This window comes from Homo sapiens, chromosome 8 (genome assembly GCF_000001405.40).
Source record: "Homo sapiens chromosome 8, GRCh38.p14 Primary Assembly".
Taxonomy (NCBI): Eukaryota; Metazoa; Chordata; class Mammalia; order Primates; family Hominidae; genus Homo; species Homo sapiens.
This window is the reverse complement of record NC_000008.11, coordinates 108,917,509-108,943,777: the sequence shown is the minus strand read 5'-3', so window position 1 is coordinate 108,943,777 and position 26,269 is coordinate 108,917,509. Positions and strand designations below refer to the sequence as shown.

Below are 26,269 nucleotides of genomic sequence, written 5' to 3'. Positions count from 1 at the left end.
AGCTTCAGACAGTATCCCTGGAGATGTTCCTGTGACTGAATCAGGATGTTCAGACAGCCTGGCAAAGCATATTTTCCCTTTTATTTAAAACAGAAATTGAAATTCCTCATATTGTTTCATGTCCTCTCATATTTTGAAATCTCTACTGGAAACCACATAAACCTTGGTAGTAAAAGCAAGATTTGGCACATATTATTAAAATGTTCATTTTTAGACAATCTCTTGTGAAACCAAGTTTTTCATACAACTTCTAGTTCACCAATTTTGGTTTTATTTTTTCTTTCTTGTCATACAGTGATCAGTAAAAAAAGAAGCAGCAGGAGAGAAAATAAAGGGAAGTAATGGACCCAAATTACCTACACTTTCAACCTTTAGCAGTGCTTCATGATTAGACGAGATAATGTTGTGTTGGTAGGGTTTTGAACAAATTGTAGAGCTCAGTAAATGTCTCATATTATTATAATTCATAATGCCAACCACAAAAGAAAATATTATTATGAATTTTTGTTCTTTTTCCCATATTTCATATGAAAAGTTTTTTTTAATAAAAGGCAATTTTGATTCAGTGGAAAGATAACTGGCCTGAGAGTACAGAGAATTTAGTTTCAATTTTGTTATGGATTTTATGCATTTGTGTAATAGTGACATTTCTATTTGAATGTATTTCATAGCAATGGAATATTTCTTAACTCTCAAAAAGAAACTAAGAAGTCACTATTTAAAAACTTATAAATGAGTTTATTCCATAGAAATATCCGGGGAAATAGCCCCCAGTATTTCAACGTAGGTTCTTTTCTATTTTTCCTAAGTGTCGACCAGTCTCAGAAATAAAGAGAAAGAGCACAAAAGAGAGAAATTTTACAGCTGGGTCTCCAGGGGTGACATCACATGTCAGCAGGTTCCATGATGCCCCTGAGCTGCAAAACCAGCAAGTTTTTATTAGCGATTTTCAAAGGGGAGGGAGTGTATGAATAGGGTGTGGATCACAGAGATCACATGCTTCAAAAGGCAATAAAATTCACAAGGCAAATAGGGGCAGAGCAAGATCACAAGGCCAGGGCAAAATTAGAATTGTTGATGAGGTTTCATGTCCCACTGTGCACACATTGTCATTGATAAACATCTTAACAGGAAACAGGCTTTGAGAGCAGACAACCGGTCTGACTAGAATTTCGCCAGGCTGGAATTTCCCAATCCTAGCAAGCCCGGGGGCACTGCAGGGGACCAGGGTGTATTTCATCCCTTATCTACAACTGCATAAGACAGACACTTCTAGAGCGGCCATTTTGGAGACCTCTCCCTGGGAATGCATTCTTTTCCCAGGGCTGTTCCTTGCTGAGAAACAGAATTCAGTGATATTTCTCCTATTCACTTTTCCAAGAAGAGAAATATGACTGTGTTCTGCCCGGCTCTGCAGGCAGTCAGACCTTATGGTTACCTCCCTTGTTCCCTGAAAATCACTGTTATCCTGTTTTTTTAGGATGCCCAGATATCATATTGTTCAAACACACAGGTTTTACAAACAATTTGTACAGATAACACAATCATCACAGGGTCCTGAGGCAACATACATCCTCAGGTTATGAAGATGATGGGATTAAGAGATTAAAGTAAAGACAGGCATAGGAAATTATAAGAGTATTGATTGGGGAAGTGATAAATGTCCATGAAATCTTCACAGTCTATGTTCAGAGATTGCAATAAAGACAGGTGTAAGAAATTATAAAAGTATTAATTTGTGGAACTAATAAATGTCCATGAAATCTTCACAATTTATGTTCTTCTGCCGTGGCTTCAGCCGGTCCCTCTGTTTGGGGTCCCTGACTTCCCGCAACATAGAAATAATCTTCTTCAAGTAAGAAATACTGGCAAAATTCAGTGAAAATTCTTCTTAAGATATTTTTCAATTATAATGAAACTTTACAAATTACCAGGGTACTGGCCAGTGCTCAGTTTTATATATTTTAAGTATAAATTATTTAGAAAATTGAGGCATTTATAGTAATGAAAAGACAATTACTATCATCAAATCTTATTAGGTCTTCATACTTTATCATACATGATTTAAATCAGTATTTTAGGTAATATTAGAGATAAAATAAAACCTCCCTTAAAGAAGGGTTTAATATTTAAATCACTGTCTCCTCCCCCAAAATAACCATTTTCTGGAAACTGATGTTTAAAAATCTTACATATGCTTTCATACCATTCCTACATAATTATGTGTCTATAAATATTATTTTTCATGCCATTTTATGTATATGTTATCAGACTGTATATATCATTCTGAAAATAGTCACCATTCAACATTATTTTTATTTGATTTATCCATAGTACATAGACTTACAGTTCATGTATTTTAATTTCTTTGTGGTATTCCAGTGTATAAAATATAGAAAAAAAGTTTATGCATGCTTTAATGAACATTTAGATTGCTGCCTAAATTTTCAGCATTATGAACAATGCTGCAGTGATTAATCTTGTGTATATCATCATGTGCATAAATATGAGAATTTCTCTAGGATATATATGTAGAAGTGAAATTTGTGGGTTGAAAACTATGTACATATTTAAATTTGCTAGATATTGTCAAATCATTCTCCAAAAGGTCTATACCAGTTCCAAATCTCAGTATTTTTATATGATGTCACAGATATCTTGCTTCATGTTTGTGATACTATTTGCATTAACAGACTTTACTTATTTGCCCATCTGGGGTTAAGGACATGCAAGTGGGAAGCAGGGAACTGGTATTCTATTTTTTATTTAATTTCCATTTCTTTGATTACTAATGAGGTAAAGCATCTTTGAATATGATGATTGGAGTTTGATGTTTCTCTACTGTAAATTGCTTTGGTCATAATATTTGCCCATATTTCTATTGAATGGATTTGAGTTGCAAATATCATTTTTCAGTTTGTGGTTTGTCTTTTATCTTTGTTTACGATCTTTTGTGGAACAGAAAGTTTAATGTTGTAAATGTAACAACTTTTTGCTTATAGATTTTGCTCTTTGTGTCTTATTTTGTCACCATTTCTTTCCTGAAATCAAAAGTATATTTTCAATATGTTCTTCAAAAAGTTTTAAAGATCAAGCATTAGGGCTGGGCGTGGTGGCTCGCGCATGTAATCCCAGCACTTTGGGAGGCTGAGGCAGGCGGATCATGAGGTCAAGAGATCAAGACAATCCTGGTCAACATGATGAAACCCCGTCTCTACTAAAAATACAAAAATTAGCTGGGTGTGTTGGCACACACCTGTAGTCCCAGCTACTCGGGGGGCTGAGGCAGGAGAATCACTTGAACTTGGGAGGCAGAAGTTGCAGTGAGCCAAGATTGTGCCACTGCACTCCAGCCTGGCGACAGAGTGAGACTCTGTCTCAAAAAAAAAAAAAAAAAAAAAAAAGATCTAGCATTAGGTCGTTCATCTATCTGGAATTTAGTTTAATTGTAATGTGAGATATGTCTAATTTAATTCTTTTTCATATTGATAACCACACATAACCATAGTTGGCATTACTAATCCATAAAGAAAAGCTACATCACCCATAGTGTTTTGATTAATACTATCATTCATCATAGTATTTGTGGTTAACATTATGATTAATGTGTCTTTTTCTTTTTGATTAGTAGCACCAACTGTCATGACATTTTCATATTTTTATGGGTACATTTGTGTGTTCCCTATTCTGTTCCATTGCTTCATTTGCTTATTCTTTCACCCATACAAGACTATATGATAGAAGACTTATAAGTCTAGCTTTACTAGACTTAAAATCTGAGGCCCTGCCAGTGTCATTTACTTCTCTTGGCAGTATACTCTTTTATATAAGTCTTATGATCAGCTTGTCTATTTAATCCAAAGAAAAACTTTCAGGAGTGTATAATAAAATGCATTGAATTTATAGATCAATTTGGAGAGAAATGATATCTTTAAAATTTTGCATCATTATAACCATGAATATTTATTCCATTCTTGTTACTTAGGTCTTCTCTTACTGTCTTGGTTATTTATTCTTTTTTATTGCAGAATTGTATTCATTATATAAATATCTTGTAATTTGTTTGCTCATTCTCCTGCTAATGGGCTTTGGGTTCTTTCCAGCTTTTGGCTATCATAAATAAACCTGCTGCGGACATTTTTACATGACTTTAAGTGGACATAAGCACCTGCTTTTGTTGGACACGTACTCAAGGGTATAATTGCTTAGTCAAAGGGTACACATATGATTAGCTTTAGCAGGTACTGCAAAATGGCAGACATGCATATTCAGACATTTAATAGCAATATAAAAGACTGTCAGATGGTCTAAAACCTCAGCAACTTTGAAATTATATTTTTAATTTTAGCTATCTGGTGCTGAGTATGTCTTTGTATCCTTTTTGTGGCTTTAAACTTGTCTTTGATTACTAGTGATGTTGAGCACCTCTTCATATATATAGCACTGATTTTATTATCCTCTTTTGTGAAGTATTTGGTTAAGTCTCTTGCCTTTTAAAAAAAACTGTACATTTTTCCTTTTCATATAGTTTAGTATGCATTATTTATATATCTTGGATACAAGCTTTTTGACAAATATATGTATTGTAAATCTCTGCTCCCAATCAGTAGCTTTCCTCTCTAGTATATTAAGTACTGTAATTCAATAAACAATAAAAAATTTATTTCATAGTGATTTTTTTATCCCATTTAAAAAATATTTGCTTATCCCAAGATCATGAAGATATTCCCCTTTTTATTTCAAAAAGACTGATGATTCTACTTTTTACATCATGATCTGTTTTGATTGTATTGATCTATAATCTAAGGTGTTGGGAGGGGTCAAATTTCACATTTTAGCTATTCAGTTGACTCAGCTCCATATTTTGAAAAGACCACCTTTCCCCTCTGATTGGTAATGGAAACTTGGTTGTAAATCAGTTACTAAACACATGAAAGATTTGTTTCAGGACTCTATGCCATTCTGTTGATCTCTTTCTCTATTCTTGTATTGGTTAGACTGAATTCATCCTTCATCCTTCAATCAACCACACTAAATTACTTACTTTTGGTTTAAAAATAATCACTTTATACGTAGAGTAAATCTATCAGATTTTCTCCTTCTTTGAGATTGTTTTGGTTAATTTAATTCCTTACATTTTCTTATACATTTTAGAATGTTAATTTATACATACACAACAATTTGGATTACGATCAAACTAGCATTGACTCTGTAGGTCAGTTTGGAACAAATAGACACCTTTAAATATGTAGAATATTCTATTGCATGAACATAGGATACCACCTCATTTATTTTTGTCTTTTTTTATATTTCTCACAGAAATATTTCATAGTTTCTAACGCAGAGGTCCTTTATTAGATTTATTCTTAGATATTTAATATTATTTGATACTGTTTTAACTGAAAGTTTAAAGTTTTAATTTTCCACTTGTTATATTAAAAATGATTATTTAATACTGACTTTGTATCCAGTAATTTTTGATAAATAATGACAGAATATTCTGGTAAACAATTTCTTCTTCTCCAATGTTAAGATAATTTATTTCTTTTTCTTGCTTTGACTAAAACCATCAGTGAAACACTGTGTTGATGAAAAAAGCCAAGATCTGTAAAATATTTCAAGAGATTCTGAGCCAAATGTGAGGACCAAAAATTTTATATATATATATATATTTTTTTTTTTTTTTTTTTTTTTAAAGACAGGGTCTCTTGCTCTATTACCAAGGCTGGAGTGTTGTGGTGTGATCATGGCTCACTGCAGCCTTAAACACCCAGGCTGAAGCAATCATCCTTTTCAGCCTCCCAAGTAACTGGTACTTTGGCATGCACCACCATACTTGGATAATGTTTATATTTTTCATAAGTATGGTATCTCACTATGTTGCCCAGGCTGGTCTCAAACTCCAGGGCTCAGGCAATCCTTCTGCCTTGGCCTCTCAAAGTGCTGGGATTATAAGTATGAGCCAGCATGCCTGGCCCTATATGCTAATATTTTGTTTTTATTTACGTTCATGAGAATTAGTGGCCTATAATTTCTCATTCTTATAATGTTTTATAAGATTTTGGTATTAGCATTATTCTAAGTTGAGAAGAATAACAAAATAAGTTGGGAAGTATTTCTCTTTCCTTATTCTTTGAAAGGATTTGTATAAAACTAATATTATTTCACCAGGGACAGTTTTTCTTGTAGGAAGGTTTTTAATTACAGATTTAATTTCTTTAGCAACCAAAGTTGCCTATCAGATTTTTATTTCTTCTTTTGTCAGTTTGGATATTTGACATTTCTCAGGAAACTTGTTCATTTCATCTCAGTTGTCAAAGATACCAACTTTTCATAATACCTTCTTATTCTAATATTCATGATTTGAAAAGAGTAATGTTCCCGGGGTATTAATTATTTTTATAAATGTTAAAATAACTTTTATTTTATTGATTGTCTCTATTCTATGTTTATTTTCAACTTCATTCATTTCTTCTTTTACTTTTTTAGATTTTCTTCCTTTACTTTCTTTGGGAATAATTTTCTCTTCTTTTCTACCTTCTTGAGTTGGGTGTTTACATAACTGATTCTCTACTTCTTTCCTAATAACATGCATTTAAAGCTATAAAATCCCTCCAGTCACTACTTTTGCTACATCTTACAGATGTTTGTAAGTTATAATTTTAGTACAAAATATTTTTAATGATAATTCCATACCAAATAATTTTCATGGTGATTTCCTATGTTACTCATGAGTTATTTAGAAGTATGTGTCTTAATTTACATGCACTTAAAAATCTCTATTTTTCTATCTGTTGTTGACTTCTAATTTAATTCTTTATGGACAAAAACCTGCATTGTATTTGAAATTTGTTTCTTTGAAGTCTTCTTTGTCTTATGTTAATATATATGTGCCATCTTTCTTTTGGTTAGTGTTTGTATAATATATATTTTTCAGTTCTTTTATATTCCTTTTTTTCTTTAATCTTATTTTTAAATTGTGTCTCATAAATCATATATATATTTTTTTCTTTTTAAAATCTAGTTTTACAATCTTATTTTCTAGTCAGAGTACTTACACTCTTCACATTTAAGGTAATTACTGATATGCTTAAATGTGTCAGGCTATTTGTGTCCTATTCGTCACATCTGTCATTTTTGACTGTATTAGTTTTCTATTGTTGTGTAACAAATTTCCACAAACTTAGCATTTTTTTTATTATTATTATACTTTAAGTTTTATGGTACACATGCACAATGTGCAGGTTAGTTACATATGTATACATGTGCCATGCTGGTGTGCTGCACCCATTAACTCGTCATTTAGCATTAGGTATATTTCCTAATGCTATCCCTCCCCCCTCCCCCCACCCCACAACAGTCCCCAGAGTGTGATGTTCCCCTTCCTGTGTCCATGTGTTCTCATTGTTCAATTCCCATCTATGAGTGAGAACATGCGGTGTTTGGTTTTTTGTCCTTGTGATAGTTTACTGAGAATGATGATTTCCAATTTCATCCATGTCCCTACAAAGGATATGAACTCATCATTTTTTATGGCTGCATAGTATTCCATGGTGTATATGTGCCACATTTTCTTAATCGAGTCTATTGTTGGACATTTGGGTTGGTTCCAAGTCTTTGCTATTGTGAATAGTGCCGCAATAAACATACGTGTGCATGTGTCTTTATAGCAGCATGATTTATAGTCCTTTGGGTATATACCCAGTAATGGGATGGCTGGGTCAAATGGTATTTCTAGTTCTAGATCCCTGAGGAATCGCCACACTGACTTCCACAATGGTTGAACTAGTTTACAGTCCCACCAACAGTGTAAAAGTGTTCCTATTTCTCCACATCCTCTCCAGCACCTGTTGTTTCCTGACCTTTTAATGATTGCCATTCTAACTGGTGTGAGATGGTATCTCACTGTGGTTTTGATTTGCATTTCTCTGATGGCCAGTGATGATGAGCATTTTTTCATGTGTCTGGTGGCTGCATAAATGTCTTCTTTTGAGAAGTGTCTGTTCATATCCTTCGCCCACTTTTTGATGGGGTTGTTTGTTTTTTTCTTGTAAATTTGTTGGAGTTCATTGTAGATTCTGGATATTAGCCCTTTGTCCGATGAGTAGGCTGCGAAAATTTTCTCCCATTTTGTAGGTTGCCTGTTCACTCTGATGGTAGTTTCTTTTGCTGTGCAGAAGCTCTTTAGTTTAATTAGATCCCATTTGTCAATTTTGGCTTTTGTTGCCATTGCTTTTGGTGTTTTAGACATGAAGTCCTTGCCCATGCCTATGTCCTGAATGGTAATGCCTAGGTTTTCTTCTAGGGTTTTTATGGTTTTAGGTCTAATGTTTAAGTCTTTAATCCATCTTGAAATAATTTTTGTATAAGGTGTAAGGAAGGGATCCAGTTTCAGCTTTCTACATATGGCTAGCCAGTTTTCCCAGCACCATTTATTAAATAGGGAATCCTTTCCCCATTGCTTGTTTTTCTCAGGTTTGTCAAAGATCAGATAGTTGTAGATATGCGGTGTTATTTCTGAGGGCTCTGTTCTGTTCCATTGGCCTATATCTCTATTTTGGTACCAGTACCATGCTGTTTTGGTTACTGTAGCCTTGTAGTATAGTTTGAAGTCAGCGTGATGCCTCTAGCTTTGTTCTTTTGGCTTAGGATTGACTTGGCGATGCAGGCTCTTTTTTGGTTCCATATGAACTTTAAAATAGTTTTTTCCAATTCTGTGAAGGAAGTCATTGGTAGCTTGATGGGGATGGCATTGAATCTATAAATTACCTTGGGCAGTATGGCCATTTTCATGATATTGATTCTTCCTACCCATGAGCATGGAATGTTCTTCCATTTGTTTGTATCGTCTTTTATTTCCTTGAGCAGTGGTTTGTAGTTCTCCTTGAAGAGGTCCTTCATGTCCCTTGTAAGTTGGATTCCTAAGTATTTTATTCTCTTTGAAGCAATTGTGAATGGGAGTTCACTCATGATTTGGCTCTCTGTTTGTCTGTTATTGGTGTATAAGAATGCTTGTGATTTTTGTACATTGATTTTGTGTCCTGAGACTTTACTGAAGTTGCTTATCAGCTTAAGGAGATTTTGGGCTGAGACAGTGGGGTTTTCTAGATATACAATCATGTCATCTGCAAACAGGGACAATTTTACTTCCTCTTTTCCTAATTGAATGCCCTTTATTTCCTTCTCCTGCCTAATTGCCCTGGCCAGAACTTCCAACACTATGTTGAATAGGAGTGGTGAGAGAGGGCATCCCTGTCTTGTGCCAGTTTTCAAAAGGAATGCTTCCAGTTTTTGTCCATTCAGTATGATATTGGCTGTGGGTTTGTCACAGATAGCTCTTATTATTTTGAGATATGTCCCATCAATACCTAATTTATTGAGAGTTTTTAGCATGAAGGGTTGTTGAATTTTGTCAAAGGCCTTTTCTGCATCTATTGAGATAATCATGTGGTTTTTGTCTTTGCTTCTGTTTATATGCTGGATTACATTTATTGATTTGCATATATTGAACCAGCCTTGTTGTGTCCAAGGGGTGAAGCCCACTTGATCATTGTGGATAAGCTTTTTGATGTGCTGCTGGATTCGGTTTGCCAGTATTTTATTGAGGATTTTTGCATCAATGTTCATCAAGGATATTGGTCTAAAATTCTCTTTTTTGGTTGTGTCTCTGCCCAGCTTTGGTATCAGGATGATGCTGGCCTCATAAAATGAGTTAGGGATGATTCCCTCTTTTTCTATTGATTGGAATAGTTTCAGAAGGAATGGTACCAGTTCCTCCTTGTACCTCTGGTAGAATTTGACTGTGAATCCATCTGGCGCTGGACTCTTTTTGGTTGGTAAGCTATTGATTATTGCCACAATTTCAGAGCCTGTTATTGGTCTATTCAGAGATTCAACTTCTTCCTGGTTTAGTCTTGGGAGAGTGTATGTGTCGAGGAATTTGTCCATTTCTTCTAGATTTTCTAGTTTATTTGCTTAGAGGTATTTGTAGTATTCTCTGATGGTAGTTTGTATTTCTGTGGGATTGGTGGTGATATCCCCTTTATCATTTTTTATTGTGTCTATTTGATTCTTCTCTCTTTTTTTCTTTATTAGTCTTGCTAGCGGTCTATCAATTTTGTTGATCCTTTCAAAAAACCAGCTCCTGGATTCATTAATTTTTTGAAGGGTTTTTTGTGTCTCTATTTCCTTCAGTTCTGCTCTGATTTTAGTTATTTCTTGCCTTCTGCTAGCTTTTGAATGTGTTTGCTCTTGCTTTTCTAGTTCTTTTAATTGTGATGTTAGGGTGTCAGTTTTGGATCTTTCCTGCTTTCTCTTCTGGGCATTTAGTGCTGTAAATTTCCCTCTACACACTGCTTTGAATATGTCCCAGAGATTCTGGTATGTTGTGTCTTAGTTCTCATTGGTTTCAAAGAACATCTTTATTTCTACCTTCATTTCGTTATGTACCCAGTAGTCATTCAGGAGCAGGTTGTTCAGTTTCCATGTAGTTGAGTGGTTTTGAGTGAGTTTCTTAATCCTGAGTTCTAGTTTGATTGCACTGTGGTCTGAGAGACAGTTTGTTATAATTTCTGTTCTTTTACATTTGCTGAGGAGAGCTTTACTTCCAACTATGTGGTCAATTTTGGAATAGGTGTGGTGTGGTGCTGAAAAAATGTATATTCTGGTGATTTGGGGTGGAGAGTCCTGTAGATGTCTATTAGGTCCACTTGGTGCAGAGCTGAGTTCAATTCCTGGGTATCCTTGTTAAATTTCTGTCTCGTTGGTCTGTCTAATGTTGACAGTGGGGTGTTAAAGTCTCCCATTATTATTGTGTGGGAGTCTAAGTCTCTTTGTAGGTCACTCAGGACTTGCTTTATGAATCTGGGTGCTCCTGTATTGGGTGCATATATATTTAGGATAGTTAGCTCTTCTTGTTGAATTGATCCCTTCAGCATTATGTAATGGCCTTCTTTGTCTCTTTTGATCTTTGTTGGTTTAAAGTCTATTTTTTCAGAGACTAGGATTGCAACCCCTGCCTTTATTTGTTTTCCATTTGCTTGGTAGATCTTCCTCCATCCTTTTGTTTTGAGCCTATGTGTGTCTCTGCACGTGAGATGGGTTTCCTGAATAAAGCACACTGATGGGTCTTGACTCTTTATCCAATTTGCCAGTCTGTGTCTTTTAATTGGAGCATTTAGTCCATTTACATTTAAAGTTAATATTGTTTTGTGTGAATTTGATCCTGTCATTATGATGTTAGCTGGTTATTTTGCTCGTTAGTTGATGCAGTTTCTTCCTAGTCTCGATGGTCTTTACATTTTGGCATGATTTTGCAGCGGCTGGTTCCGGTTGTGCCTTTCCATGTTTAGTACTTCCTTCAGGAGCTCTTTTAGGGCAGGCCTGGTGGTGACAAAATCTCTCAGCATTTGCTTGTCTGTAAAGTATTTTATTTCTCCTTCACTTATGAAGCTTAGTTTGGCTGGATATGAAATTCTGGGTTGAAAATTCTTTTCTTTAAGAATGTTGAATATTGGCCCCCACTCTCTTCTGGCTTGTAGAGTTTCTGCCGAGAGATCCGCTGTTAGTCTGATGGGCTTCCCTTTGTGGGTAACCCGACCTTTCTCTCTGGCTGCCCTTAACATTTTTTCCTTCATTTCAACTTTGGTGAATCTGACAATTATGTGTATTGCAGTTGCTCTTCTCGAGGAGTATCTTTGTGGCGTTCTCTGTATTTCCTGAATCTGAATGTTGGCCTGCCTTGCTAGATTGGGGAAGTTCTCCTGGATAGTATCCTGCAGAGTGTTTTCCAACTTGGTTCCATTCTCCCTGTCACTTTCAGGTACACCAATCAGACATAGATTTGGTCTTTTCACATAGTCCCATATTTCTTGGAGGCTTTGTTCGTTTCTTTTTATTCTTTTTTCTCTAAACTTCCCTTCTCGCTTCATTCATTTCATCTTCCATCACTGATACCCTTTCTTCCAGTTGATTCCATCGGCTCCTGAGGCTTCTGCATTCTTCATGTAGTTCTCAAGCCTTGGCTTTCAGCTCCATCAGCTCCTTTAAGCACTTCTCTGTATTGGTTATTCTAGTTATACATTCGTCTAAATTTTTTTCAAAGTTTTCAACTTCTTTGCCTTTGGTTTGAATGTCCTCCTGTAGCTTGGAGTAGTTTGATCATCTGAAGCCTTCTTCTCTCAGCTCGTCAAAGTCATTCTCTGTCCAGCTTTGTTCCATTGCTGGTGAGGAACTTCATTCCTTTGGAGGAGGAGAGGCACTCTGCTTTTTAGAGTTTCCAGTTTTTCTGCTCTGTTTTTTCCCCATCTTTGTGGTTTTATCTACTTTTGGTCTTTGATGATGGTGATGTACAGATGGGTTTTTGGTGTGGATGTCCTTTCTGTTTGTTAGTTTTCCTTCTAACAGACAGGACCCTCAGCTGCAGGTCTGTTGGAGTTTGCTAGAGGTCCACTCCAGACCATGTTTGCCTGGGTATCAGCAGCAGTGGCTGCAGAACCACGGATTTTCATGATCCGCGAATGCTGCTGTCTGATCGTTCCTCTGGAAGATTTGTCTCAGAGGAGTACCCGGCCGTGTGAGGTGTCAGTCTGCCCCTACTGGGGGGTGCCTCCCAGTTAGGCTGCTCGGGGGTCAGGGGTCAGGGACCCACTTGAGGAGGCAGTCTGCCCGTTCTGAGATCTCCAGCTGTGTGCTGGGAGAACCACTGCTCTCCTCAAAGCTGTTAGACAGAGACATTTAAGTCTGCAGAGGTTACTGCTCTCTTTTTGTTTGTCTGTGCCCTGCCCCCAGAAACTCCACGCAGTTCGAGCTTCCCAGCTCCTTTGTTTACCTAAGTGAGCCTGGGCAATGGCGGGCGCCCCTCCCCCAGCCTCGCTGCTGCCTTGCAGTTTGATCTGAGACTGCTGTGCTAGCAATCAGCGAGACTCCGTGGGTGTAGGACCCTCCAAACCATGTGCGGGATATAATCTCCTGGTGTGCTGTTTCCTAAGCCCGTTGGAAAAGCGCAGTATGCGGGTGGGAGTGGCCCGATTTTCCAGGTGCCGTCTGTCACCCCTTTCCTTGACCAGGAAAGGGAACTCCCTGACCCCTTGCACTTCCCAAGTGAGGCAATGCCTCACCCTGCTTCGGTTGGCCCACGGTGTGCTGCACCCACTGTTCTGCACCCACCGTCTGGCACTCCCTAGTGAGGTGAACCCGGTACCTCAGATGGAAATGCAGAAATCACCCATCTTCTGCATCGGTCACGCTGGGAGCTGTAGACCGGAGCTGTTCCTATTCGGCCATCTTGGCTCCTCCCCCAAACTTAGCATCTTAAGACAATGCCCTTTTATTATCTCACAGTCTTGGGAAGCAAAAAGTTTAGGAATATATTAGTTGAGTTTTCTGCACAGGGTTTCACCAGGCTGAAATTAAGGTATTAGCCGGGGCTATAATCTCATGTGGGGCTCAAGGACTAGTAGATCTAGTTGTTACATAAGCTGTACCTAGTATGGAATCTAACAAAATGAGACTATTATCTTTGGAAAGTGGGGGTTAACAATGGGGCTGGGAAAGAAGCTATGCCTTGGAGATCAACAGCTCTGGGTTTAAATTCTAACTGTGGTGTGTATGAGTTTTAATTTTATCACCTACATAAAAGAGAATATTTTACTTATTTTACAGGATTAAGAGATTAAATGAAATATCTGAAAGAGATTGACATCTAGCTATGTCTCCTAAGCATCTATATTTATTACTAAGCATGAAAACTCAAACATATTTCTGAGATGGGAATTATGAAAAAATATTCAAAGTTTTGAAAAGATGTTGAGGTGATAGGAAAACAAAGTCATGTCCAGCTTCACTTGATAATGAGGGTGCAGTAGTGTGGTTAATAAAATTGAAAAGATCAGGAAAAAGTCACAGAAACTGCTTTAGTTATTTCATTTATTTATTCATCCAATATTTGTATCTGTGTGAGAGCCTACTCTGAGATGGGCATCTTTCTAACTGTTGAGAATACAGTGGTGAACTAACCAGACAAGGACCTCACCCTTTGTATAGTACGGCATTTCCTAAAATGTATTGACTGAGATGTTATGATTCCTACAAATTAATAAATGAATAAAGGATTTCAAAGTCAAATAAATTATTGAAGCTTTATGTTATGTGAAGTTTTATGTTTGCTGTAGTAGTTCTCAGAGCCTTGAATATGCAAATGAAAATTGTGAATCTATAAGAATTAGATATAATATGTAGCATTTCCAAATTATTTTACTTTAGAGCTTCTATATAGAGGAACACATACTAATATCTTGCAGGAGACAGCTTGAGAAGTGCTCAATGAAGCTTTAAGTCAGATTGAATAAATGGATTTATAAAGCAATATTAAAGGCTTGTCAGTATTTGGATTTCATTCATTGGTAATGGATCCAATCATGAAAATTATATGATGTTATTTGGCACAATTCCACAGCTTAACAAAAGGCCTAGAGAAAATGGGCAGCTGATTTGTCTAGGTGTAGAAATTGACAAAGTGATTAAAATAAACTATGGAGGTGTAACAAAATCCTAGAGGCTTGTGAAATAAAGATAAATCAGTGAACCATGTATTCCAGCCTGGATAAGGAGGAAAGCAAAGCCTCAATAATTTGAGAGAATAATGAGATATGGAAATATTAGAAGTATAATGCTATTGCTTAGAAGTAAGAAAATGTGGAAGAAAATTATAGTCAGAGAGACACATTTCAAGTTTCAAGATATCAGATGTGAAAAATGGATGAAAAGTGATGACATTGTTTAGGACATAACTGTGGATTCATTGCTAAAGTGGAATGAAGAGAAGGTAAAAGCCTTATGAGTCCATAGTATACAAATGGTTGTCCATTTGAAGAATGAAGTTACTTAAGCATCTAGAAGATTATGAAGTAGAAAAGAGAACTGTGGTTCTGGCATAAATAATTTATGCATACTGGGTAGGCACCTGGAAATTGGTGGAATTATGACTTTTAAAAGTTAAGTCCGAGTATGGTGGCTCACACCTGTAATCCTAGCATTTTGGGACGCCGAGGTGGGCAGATCACTTGACGTCAGGAGTTCAAGACCAGCCTGGCTAACATGGTGAAACCCCATGTCTACTAAAAACACAAAAATTAGCGAGGTTTGGTAGTGGGTGCCTATAATCCCAGCTACTGGGGAGGCTGAGGAAGGAGAATCACTTGAACCCAGGATCTGAGCCGAGATATCACCACTGCACTTTAGCCTGGGCAAAAGAGCGAGACTCTGTCTGAAAAACAAACAAACAAACAAAGTTAATATGTGGTCTTCGAAGTAGGCATGGTGGAACCAATGTAAAAATCTAATGGCTTTGAATGAGACAGTAGGAAGCAAGGATATTGCCAACCTTTCCTTAAAGTCAACAGATTTAATGCAAGTAGGAGTGCCTTTACATGGAGGTTCCATGGGTAGTACAATATAAGGGAGAGTGGGTCTCGAGTTCAGACAAACACAGGTTAGATTCCTGACTCTGCTGCTTACTATGTTACAGCCTTATTTAAATATGTAATGTCTGTATGAATTCTACATTCTTTCATAGACACAATATTCCCATCTCATATCTTGAAGGCTCTTCTGAGGAATGACAAAATTGTGTAAATCTTAGCACAGTGTCTGTTTTTCACACAGGACTAGGCTTTTTACTGTGAAAATGAGAGCCATATTCTAGAAAAATATTTAAACTTGTGTGAAGGTTATGAGCCAATGATAATAGAGGCAAAATTCTGAGATATGGGTTTGATTGTCATGGAAAAGATGGGAAAAGACTCTGGATGGAGTTAATTCTTTTCAAATTTCTACTGAATATTTGTGGGAACTTTGGTCTAAAGTGTAATGATGCATTTTAAAAATACTTGACCAAGGTAGAGATTGCCAAACTTGATGATAATAATAAAAATGAACAAAATAATGGCTAATATATATTAAGATCCAGCTAACTCTATGAAATAGATTTTACCACCCTACTACACTATTTATGCATATGAGAAAAACAAGAAGTGAAATGACCTGCACAAAAGCATAGAATTTGTAAATTGCAAAGCCAGTATACCCTCTCATATCAGATAGACATGCAAACATGTATAGATTTACATAGATATACACATATTTACATGTGTTTAAATATGTATAATGTGTTTATGTATGTATATATGTGTATGTGTTTATGTGTGTATACACACACACACACACATATGTATACACAGAGAGAGAGAGAGAGAACATTAGAATAGACCCACCGAAAGAACTCTCTAAGTACTATTTAAAAATGTATGTACCAAACATAAAAACTTACTGCAATTGACATTTTGGCATACAGGATTAGGTAAACACAACAGCTCAAAAATATTCTATAAAGCCAGTTATTGTAATCAATAACACAAATGTTCAAAAACCAAAGATCTACAAATTTAAAATAAATATGTTAAACAATGTAATGTGAATCTGGATTCTGTAAGACACAGGAATCTGATTTTCAGGTTACAAAACCTTCCAGTATATAACCATAGGATTCAATGGTCAGGGCAAACACATCATGAGAAAGGATGGTTTTACTTTAGAAAAATAGAGTAAGGAATCAAACATGAAGCCTTGTCATGACTAAAACAAACCAAAGTGGACGTGGGGCAAACTAAACCTCTTTTGTTCAAAGCTGTATGTCCAGTGCCTAGTCAGTTCCTGGCACCTTGTAAGTTTGTTGAATGAAGTGAATGAATGCCTGAGAAGAAAGAGCAGCAGCACAAGAACTGGTTGCTGATGACAATAAGGAAAACATTACATAGAACTTGGGTGCTGAGGCACTTGTATCTACTTTAGACTGTCTATGCTTCATTTCTTTATTTGTTGAGGAAATCGATCCAGAAGAGCTTGACCATAAATCAACAGCACTATTCTCTCTTTATTGACAGATATTCACCAAGTGAAGGGGAAAAATAACTTTAGTTTAGAGCTGGAAAGTCAACTGCTACCTAAAATCCATTTTGAGGGAAGGGACATTACTCTTAAGTCTTGGTGTAACAAAGAATAAATGTAGCATAAAGCTACTCCTTGACTCACCAAAATCTGAGATATATCAATCAGTGACTTGTCTAGAAATTTTGAACTGACAAGACCACTGAATTATTATTATGGGTTTCTGAAATTCCAACAAACTTAGGTCATGACCTTAAACACTCTGGAAGGAAGCATCTTTCAAGACTGAATGGCTCACAAATCTCAGACTGTCTGCTTTTCCCCAATTCCATCACATTAACTAAATAGCCAAATGCTTATGGTATTTACAGATTTTTATTCATTTTGACACAACTAAAATGTCTCCATAGATATCTCCATAGTGTAGACCAAAAACCCCACAATCATCTCTCAGTAACAGCAACATGGGTAAACAGACTAGAAGGCTGGTTTTTGATCAAGCACGCTGTTATTAAATGGTGGGTCATGGGGCGTAAAATGTGTAATCACACCAGAATAAATCTTAAATTTTACAGCCTCACTGAAATTACTTCCTACCAGACCAATGGTCAGGACTAAATGTGTTTGTCACACAAGGATGAAGGGCAAAATTGAACTATATTTCTGAATCATCAGTCCTAAAGGCTGTTAAACTAAGTCTTACCTTATATGACCTAGAAATGCAATCTGATTCAGCAACATTTACTAAGTACCTAGTATGAGTCCTCAACACAAGCCAAACTAATTATAATACATTGCAAATATAAGCATAAATAAAGTATCAAGGAGTAACTTATTTCAATTTTTAAAAACTGAAAAATTTCCTTGCTGTAAGTCACTGACATCGTCTTCTGAGTTGCAGAACTGAAAAATACCACGAAGAAGTCATTGTGTACAGTCTCCTGCCTTTGTGGACAAGATATATTATTATTACTTATTTGAGATGAAGAAACAAAAGCCTAAAAAGCATAAGTAGTTTTCTGAAGATTATGTGAATAGTAAACAACAAAATACAAGGGTAGAAATTAGGTCCTCTTATTTCTTGGTGCAAAATTTCTTCCTAGATTCCATGCTGTTTCCCACAGAATTATACATGGGAGAGTGAAATAGAGTCCAAATGACCTGAGATATAATTGTATAAGTACTCATTTATACATTTCTGCACAAGTCTGACTCTCCAAGTTCTGTTTAACTATGACCAGTTGAAGATTTTCATATGTGAAAGGTCAAACAGCAAAAATCATACAGCTTAAATTATTTTTGCTTCAGTCAGTTAAGAACTAGAAAGAGAAGTAAGAACAAGGGTAAAGATTGTTCTAAAGTTAGCCATAACTAGGTAGAGAGAAGGATATGGTTAGTTTGTTGTCCATTGTGAGTTTTGTTTTATTGAGGTTATTATGAAGTTCAGATAAATTTAACAAAATATATGCATAGCCTGGATATTCCAAACTACAAAATATTGCTGAGTGAAATTAAAGGATACCTACATAAATGAGAAGATATAACATACATTTTCCCCAAATTAATCTATATATTAAATGCAATTCTAATCAAAATCCCATGAGTCCCTTTTTAGTTCAAAAATGGCAAGCTGATTCTAAAGTTAATTTGGAAATGCAAAGGAGTCTACACAGCCAAGATAATTTTGAAAAAGAAAAAAAATGAGAGGACTCGTACTACAAAGCAACAGTAATTAAAACAGAGAGCTGTTGGTAGAAGAATGCACTTACAGATCAAAGAAATAGAATAGAAAGTCTAGATACAGACCCAAAATATATGGTCAATTTATTTTTTATAAAACTGTTTAGCTATTTTAATTGAGAAAGTATAGGTTCTTCAACAAATGATGGTAGAACATGTGGATATTCATATGGAAAAAAATGAACCTCACACATTCATGAAGATTAATGAATCACAGACTATACTTTTAAAACCTTTGCAAGCCATTAATAAGAAGACAGCAGGCAATTCGCAAATGCACAAATGGCCAGTGAGCATTTGTATACAACATCATTAGTCATCAGATAAATGCAAATTAAAACAAAAATGAAATACCCCTACTAGCCATTTAAATGGCTAAAATTAATATCAAAATAAAGAGAAAAACCTTAAAGCTCCTAGAGAAAAGTTATCTGATAAATTAGATTTCCCTTCATCTTCACCATAAGACCAAGATTTCTAATTTGTTCCTCATTGTATATCTAGCACTTAGCAGAGGGTATGAAATGCAACAATGGACTCAATAGATAAGAAGGGGATGAATGCATGCATAAATGAATATGTTATTAGAGTTATCTATTATTGTAGCAATATGCAATATCACAGGAATCAATATCATCTTGTTAAATCACATTTTCTCACACATATTTTGGTTGTAAACATATATTTTAAAATTTTCAGTTTTGAGATTGGTTTGTTCCCAAGTTCCACAATAAAACTGATACTAAATTTGTCTGACCTGTGGATGCTTTCCAAATCATTTCCATTACCTGATTGAAACAAACAGAAAATTTCTCTCTGATTAATAATAGAAATGTCATTGTTGAGTTTTTTGATATTTATTCCATGTGTTTAAAAGAGTATGGAGAGTCTGGGAAAAGATAAAGAGGTCATGACCATGTTTACATCCAACCTCTTTTTTTCAAAACTGCATAACCTAATCCATGTGAAGTAGGCTCCATGTACCAGGTTTGGACCTCTGAATTTAGAATGAATTAATCTGTTCCCCAGGGATTTGTAAAAGTTGCTGAGAGATTCATAAGCCCTGAGGGCAATTTGATGACAATAAATTGGAAAGAAGAGAAAGTCAGTTTCTGTACTGATAATAAAGAATGAAAAAGATTGGGAGAAAGCCACAATGAGAAGAGATGATGGGATCTTCTGGTGGTTCTAGTCTTTTCATGAGGCTGAGCAAGATTTTTGCCCTTGCATTCTATTAGATTACTTTGTACTCCTATAATATGCACCCCCTTCCCCAACTTTTTACTTTAGCTAATTCTATAATGTTTCTTTGGCTAGCTCCTCCCTTGACTCCTGGAAAAACACACACACACACACACACACACACACACACACACACACACACTCCTCCTAATGCACTGCAGGATAATCCCTAAGAATGTCTAAGTACCTTTTAGCATGATCCTCCCAGAAATCTGGAGAACTAATCTTATTCTAGTTTCATAGTAATAAATGTATGAATGCACTTCTCTGAAGTTGTTATTGCATGACAGAATTGAGAGTGATGGATGAGGAGCCTGTTCCAGCCTCAACGGTCTGTATGATCCATTGGCATTCAGTCTATATGGTATTACCTTAAGCTTGACTAGCTGCATGACGCCCTGAAATGGTGGTCTCTGGTGTGTTTCTAGATCAGGCTGCATCCTGGGCTGCTCCAATTACACATATAAGGATGGGCTTGCAGAAAATTAGTTCAGAGTCTGGTTGGCCCTCACTCATATATCATCATCCACAAACTATTCTAGACATTGGGTCTACGATCATATTTCTTCACTGTTTTCCACTTTTTTTGGATCCTTATTGCAAATTATTTCTGTATCATTTCGATGAAAAAAAATCTTGGCTTAACTTTTTCATCCCTGGGGTATTTCCTGGAAACCTAGGCCCAATTTTCACATTTGTCACCACACTAAACACACTTACACATAAAGAGATCTTTGCCCTTCCAACTCTCAAAGTAGGCAGTTCATGAGGCACCTGCTGAATCTCACCATGAATTTATTATATGTTTGGGATCTGGATTTAACAGATAAGTTTCACCAATGCCTTCTTTGATCCCCAAAAGCAGAATTAAACACTTCATTGTTCCCTCTTCTATGCCATCCTATATGTGCTTCTCTTTTTCTAATTATGTGTTGATTTTACTTATTTGTCTTTTCTTCTCAACTGTGAGATTCTTAGGAGCAAGTGATCTGATCTCATTAATATTTGTATCTGTGTGCCCTATCCTAGTCCCAGCCATGTACATTGACATTCAACAAATGTTTGTTTCATGAATAACTGAATGAATGGATGGATGAATGAATGCTTGAACGTCCACACAAATTCAAAGACTCAAATCATGAGACCTTTACATGTCTAATTTCCATAAGAAGAGTCTCTAAACACTGTTTTTACTGCTAAAATCAAATCATTGTCATAGGCAAGGACAAAGCAATACTGCTTTCAACAAAGGGATAGACAATGTAAACCTCCTCTAGTGTAAACTTGTGAGAAACCCTTTAGTGAATTATGAATATATAAATGTATATGTGCACATTTGCTGTGGAAGGGATATTGAATTCTCATTACGGACTTCTTGGGAAGCCTGACAGAGTAATTTTTCCTCTGTCACTGAGGTAAGGTGTGTATGTGAGAGGGGGATGAGTGAAAGAGGACGGAAAGGGAAGGAAGGAAAGAGGGAGAGAAAGAGACATTATGTATATGTATTTTTCCCTGTGCATGCAATCCTGTTAAATCAATAGTTACTAAAATCAGAGTTTGTTGTTACATCATAGTAAAAAACCACCATTTTGTCTACCTGCTACAAACTAATAGGAAAAAAATCTGCAATTTATTATTCTAAGAGGCGAAAGTTATCTTCAAAACATCTCTCTTACTAATCATTAGAGGTAATTAAATCCTCATAATGATGCTCCACTACTTGTATTGTTTTGGCTAAAGATGAATCATAAAATAAATACAGTTGACAATGTAGGTCAATAGGGTTGGCTGTTCAGTTTAACAAGCACCAAGTTAATGAATCCAAGGGCATGGATGTCACCCCCTTGCAAGCCTAGTAGCATTGTTTTTTGTATGACTGAAGCTGCTTTTCCCTGTGCTGTAGTCAGACTGTATCTGCATATGTTGAAATCATTTATTTCCTTTTAGGACTAATCTCTTATGTCCTTCTTATCTCCTTTCTGCCCTTCTTTTTTCTGTCTCTCCATTTTCTGTCACCTACATCTGTCATAAACTAGGTACATTTTTAGGCTAAAGGCTTACAACAAGAAATAAGACAATGTGGTTTGTTTTTTTTTTCAATATCCTGAGTCTAGCTAAGGAGAAATGCAATAAACACTTGTTAACAATGTAATTTGATAGATGCTTTTAAAGTGGTGTGTACAGAGAAGGAAATGGCAAATTAAATACAAAGGGGACTAAGAAGGCATCACAAAGGGAATTCCCCTTGAAATTTGTCTTGATAAGAGGACCTTGAAGGAGTAAACCCTCCTCTAAATATTTTATAACTATATTCTTTTATATGTTATAGGACCTCTAATAGGTGTGTATATATATATATACCTATTATATATAAAAATATATATACCTATATATAATATGTGTATGTGTATATATATACCTATATATAATATGTGTGTGTGTGTGTGTGTGTATGTATATATATATATATATATATATATACACACACCATTTGGCATATATATATGCCAAATGATTAAATGAATTAATGTTCTGCTTAGAGAATATAATAAAATGTATTCCAAGGACATGGAACAGCTTGTCTAAAGGCAAAGTAGCAAAAGAGAATTTGGCAAGTACATAATGGGCCAAAAATGACAAGAAAAAAATGAAAATATTTGATGCTTCATTTTAGGATTATAAAAGGAATTTTAGGAAAGGATTATACATAATTTTCAATGGTATTTTAAAAAAGTGAAAGCTATGATTTATACTATTTGTATGATCAAAATATTTCACTCTCTTTTTTTAATCTTAGCTGTATGCCAATGTTGTATTCTACTTTTTTCCTTTAGTTTTATAGCAAAAATATTTTCTAGGTTGCTATAAAGTCTTCATATGATTACTTTTCATATGGATGCCTAATATTACTTTGAGTTTACTGATCACTTAGCCATTGTTCTTGTTTTATCAATATTAGAATTAAGTCCTATAACAAATCCTGTATCAGCATCTTTCAATTTCTGGGTCAGCTGAGACGAAGCAGCAGGATGTCTATAATTTAGTGTGGCTGCATTTATACAGGGCCAAGGAAGCCAGGTCTGGTTTGCAGTTTCCCAATTTCTCTGATGGTCACTTCATGCTATGAGAAGTTCTGCAAAAGAAGATTTAAGCACCTTCAGTCAACTCCCCAACCCAAATCACATTTTGACCAAGATTTCTCCAACTGTGGGCAATACTGTCTACCATAGTAAGCATTAAAGTTAGTGACCTAAATAATTGAGTGGCCCACTCCAAGGGAGAGCTAGCGGACATGTTCCCTCCCTCAATGCTTAAGAAAGATGCTGAAGGGAAGGGCTCTGAGAGATGCACTGGAGAGCCCTGCCCAAGGCAGCCCTACACTGTGTACTTTCCTCAGCTCAGCATTCTGAGGAGTTTCATAAGAACAGCAGGGGTAGCAAGTGTGATGGGAAGCCCCAGAGAGACTTAGAGTTGTAGAGAGAAGACGGTGATCTTGGAGCAAGAAAAGGGCAATGGTGAATAAAACTCTGGTGAGCACATGAGAGGTTCTAGAAAACTCCTGTTCAATTAGGAATTACTGGAGGCTGATTGGCAGAGATTCAGCCAAATCAGATGCAGAGCAAAAGCCAAGAGAATACAGGAAACCCAGAGCACTGACAGGGTAGGAGCATAGGGCAGGGTTTGGCAGGAAGAAGAGAGGGTTAACATGAAGGCTTAGCGGAATTGTAAGGGTTCTAGTACAAATTGGTTTCTCTAGTCACTAAAGGTTTCAAAAAAAGGTTTGTTTTTTTCTCTTAGTGATGTAATGTAAAAAGAATAAAAAATTATTACAAATAAAGTTTGATACAATCAAAGTCTCAGAACATCTGGGTTGGGATTCATCTCTACTAATGTTTTGATTGTTGACCAAAGTTTGAGCTGGGCAATGAAGGCTGTAGGTAGATGAGAGAATTAGGTGATATTCTCCATTTGGAAATAATCCTACTGCTTCCCAATAATTTACTTGGCATTTCTTTGCCATCTCATTTTGTTTGTTTTTGGTTGCTTCCTTCAGACGTCTTTCTTCTGATATACACTCATGGACATTTCTATCATATATTCCCATCATACCCCATATGTATAATAGCACTTATCACACTGTATTAGATTTGCCTCTTTGTCTTGTACAATCCTTTTGGGGCTGTGTTAGTTTCCTAGAGCTGTCATAACAAAGTATCACTCCCTGGTTGGCTTAAAACAACGGAAATGTACTCCTTCAATTCTGAAGACTAGAAGTCTGAAATCAAGATGTCAGCAAGGCTATACCCCACTCTGAAAACTATAGGGGAGAAGGTTTTGTTGCCTCTCCAATTATAGCTCCTAATGTTGGTTTACAGATGCATCACCTCAGTCTCAGCCTCTGTCGTCACCTGGCCATCTTCTCCCTGTATATCTTTCTCTTATGAAGATGCCAATCATATTGCATTAAGGACCCACCCTACTCCAGTATAAGCCCATCCTACTCCAGTATAAGGGCCCACCCTACTCCAGTATAATCTTAAATAACTTTATGTCTGCAATGATTGTATTTCCAAATAAGTTCACGTTCTGAGATACCAGGACTTCAGTATCTTTGCAGAGAGGCGGAGCTTGCAGTGAGCTGAGATCGCGCCACTGCACTCCAGCCTGGGTGACAGAGCAAGACTCCGTCTCAAAAAAATAAATAAATAAATAAATAATAAATAAATATCTTTGCAGAGGAAGGGTCCATAATTCAATCCATAACAGCCAGCAAGGATTATGTCTACTTCGTCACTTTTACTTTTGTATCTTTAGTAATTATCTCATTGCTGAGCTCACAGAACATGTTCAATAAAATTTTGATGAATAAGTGAATGTGTGAATACAGAAATTAGGTTGTACTAAGAAATCCCTATTCTGTTCCAGTATAAAAGAAATTTACGTAGGAGGGTAGCAGATTAAGCCACAGGAACTTCAAGGCCCTTCCAACTTCACAGTTCTATGATTCCTTTGTCTCAACACTGATTTGGTTCCAGCTATTTAGAAAAGACCTGTGAACAGCAACTGCTTACTGACTACATCTCTTTAAATCCCAGATAGACAAAATTAAGTGTCATAAAGAATATTTAAGTGCGTAGAATTGTATACCTATTGTTTGGAATTTTAGAGGATTTCAAAGGTCTTCATCCTTATACTTAATTTTAGGCTATTTGCTTTTGAGCTACTCCGGGAGAGGAGCAGAGTCGGTTTGAGTTGCATGACTGACATCTTCTGGCTACAGTGGATATTACAGAAAGACTGAAACTCCGCAAAAGGTAATAAATGGTATCACTCTGGTTTTAACATTGAAAAGGAAAAGAAAGGTAACCTCATATGTGGAAGTAACAGAAAGCTATTCATAGATAGACCAATTCATTTTTTTAGAAAGAGTGACTATATAGCCTAAGAAATATGTGGAGTTCACCAGAATTGATTTTTGCCTTAAATAAGAAAGTGAAGGAGATGAAAACATAAATGCAGAGAGCGTTCAGGAACAGAGCATGAAGAAACAGATTGATCAGAAATGTTCTTGATGAAAGACTAGTGCTTCGGCTTTCTTATAAAGAATGTGCGTATGTGGGAAAGCTATGAAAGAGGTTCTTGAATACTTTAGCAACTTGACTATTGTTTTGCTCTGACCCAGACAAAGGTCTGGTAGGACTTTCCATCTGTACTTCTGCCATTTGTGATTGGCAATCCTTGCTCAGTTCCAGGGACGCTGTCAGAATAATTATTCATTCCTTCATGAAAAATGTGCTGTGCGTGTCCTTCCTAAACTTCAAACGTGTTCTCTAGTGTATTGTTCTCCATCTCTCCAACTTGCTTCTTTTCTTTTCCTTCCTTCCTTCCTCCCTCCCTCTTTCTTTTTTTTTTTCTCTTTTCTCTCCTTTCTTTTCTTTTCTTTCTTTCTTGACACAGTCTTGTTCTGTCACCCAACTTGGAGTGCAGTGGCACGATCTCAGCTCACTGCAACCTCCACCTCCTAGGTTCAAGCGATTCTCCTGCCTCAGCCTCCTGAGTAGCTGGGACTACAGGCCAAGCCACCATGCTTGGCTAATTTTTTGTATTTTTAGTAGAGATGGGGTTTCACCCTGTTAGCCAGGATGGTCTCGATCTCCTGACCTCATGATCCGCCCACCTCGGCCTCCCAAAGTGCTAGGATTACAGGAGTGACCCACCGCACCCGGCCTCTCCAACCTGTTTCATTTATCTTTTCTTGATGATGTAGTGCACCTACTACTTACCTGCTGGCCACATTGTTCCTGACTACTCTCAATCCTGAAAAGAGGACATGTGGCTGTGT

The 26,269-nt window shown here is 36.3% G+C and overlaps 1 long non-coding RNA gene across 3 annotated transcripts in view; it reads left to right on the top strand.

Moving 5' to 3' along the window:
* Positions 1 to 26,269, top strand: part of LOC101927413 (uncharacterized) — a 78,895-nt gene that overhangs the window by 5,131 nt on the left and 47,495 nt on the right. For all 3 annotated transcript variants that reach the window (NR_188035.1, NR_188034.1, NR_188033.1), the window contains exon 2: positions 25,132 to 25,241. This is a non-coding gene — a long non-coding RNA (uncharacterized LOC101927413). The remainder of the gene's footprint in view (positions 1 to 25,131; positions 25,242 to 26,269) is intronic.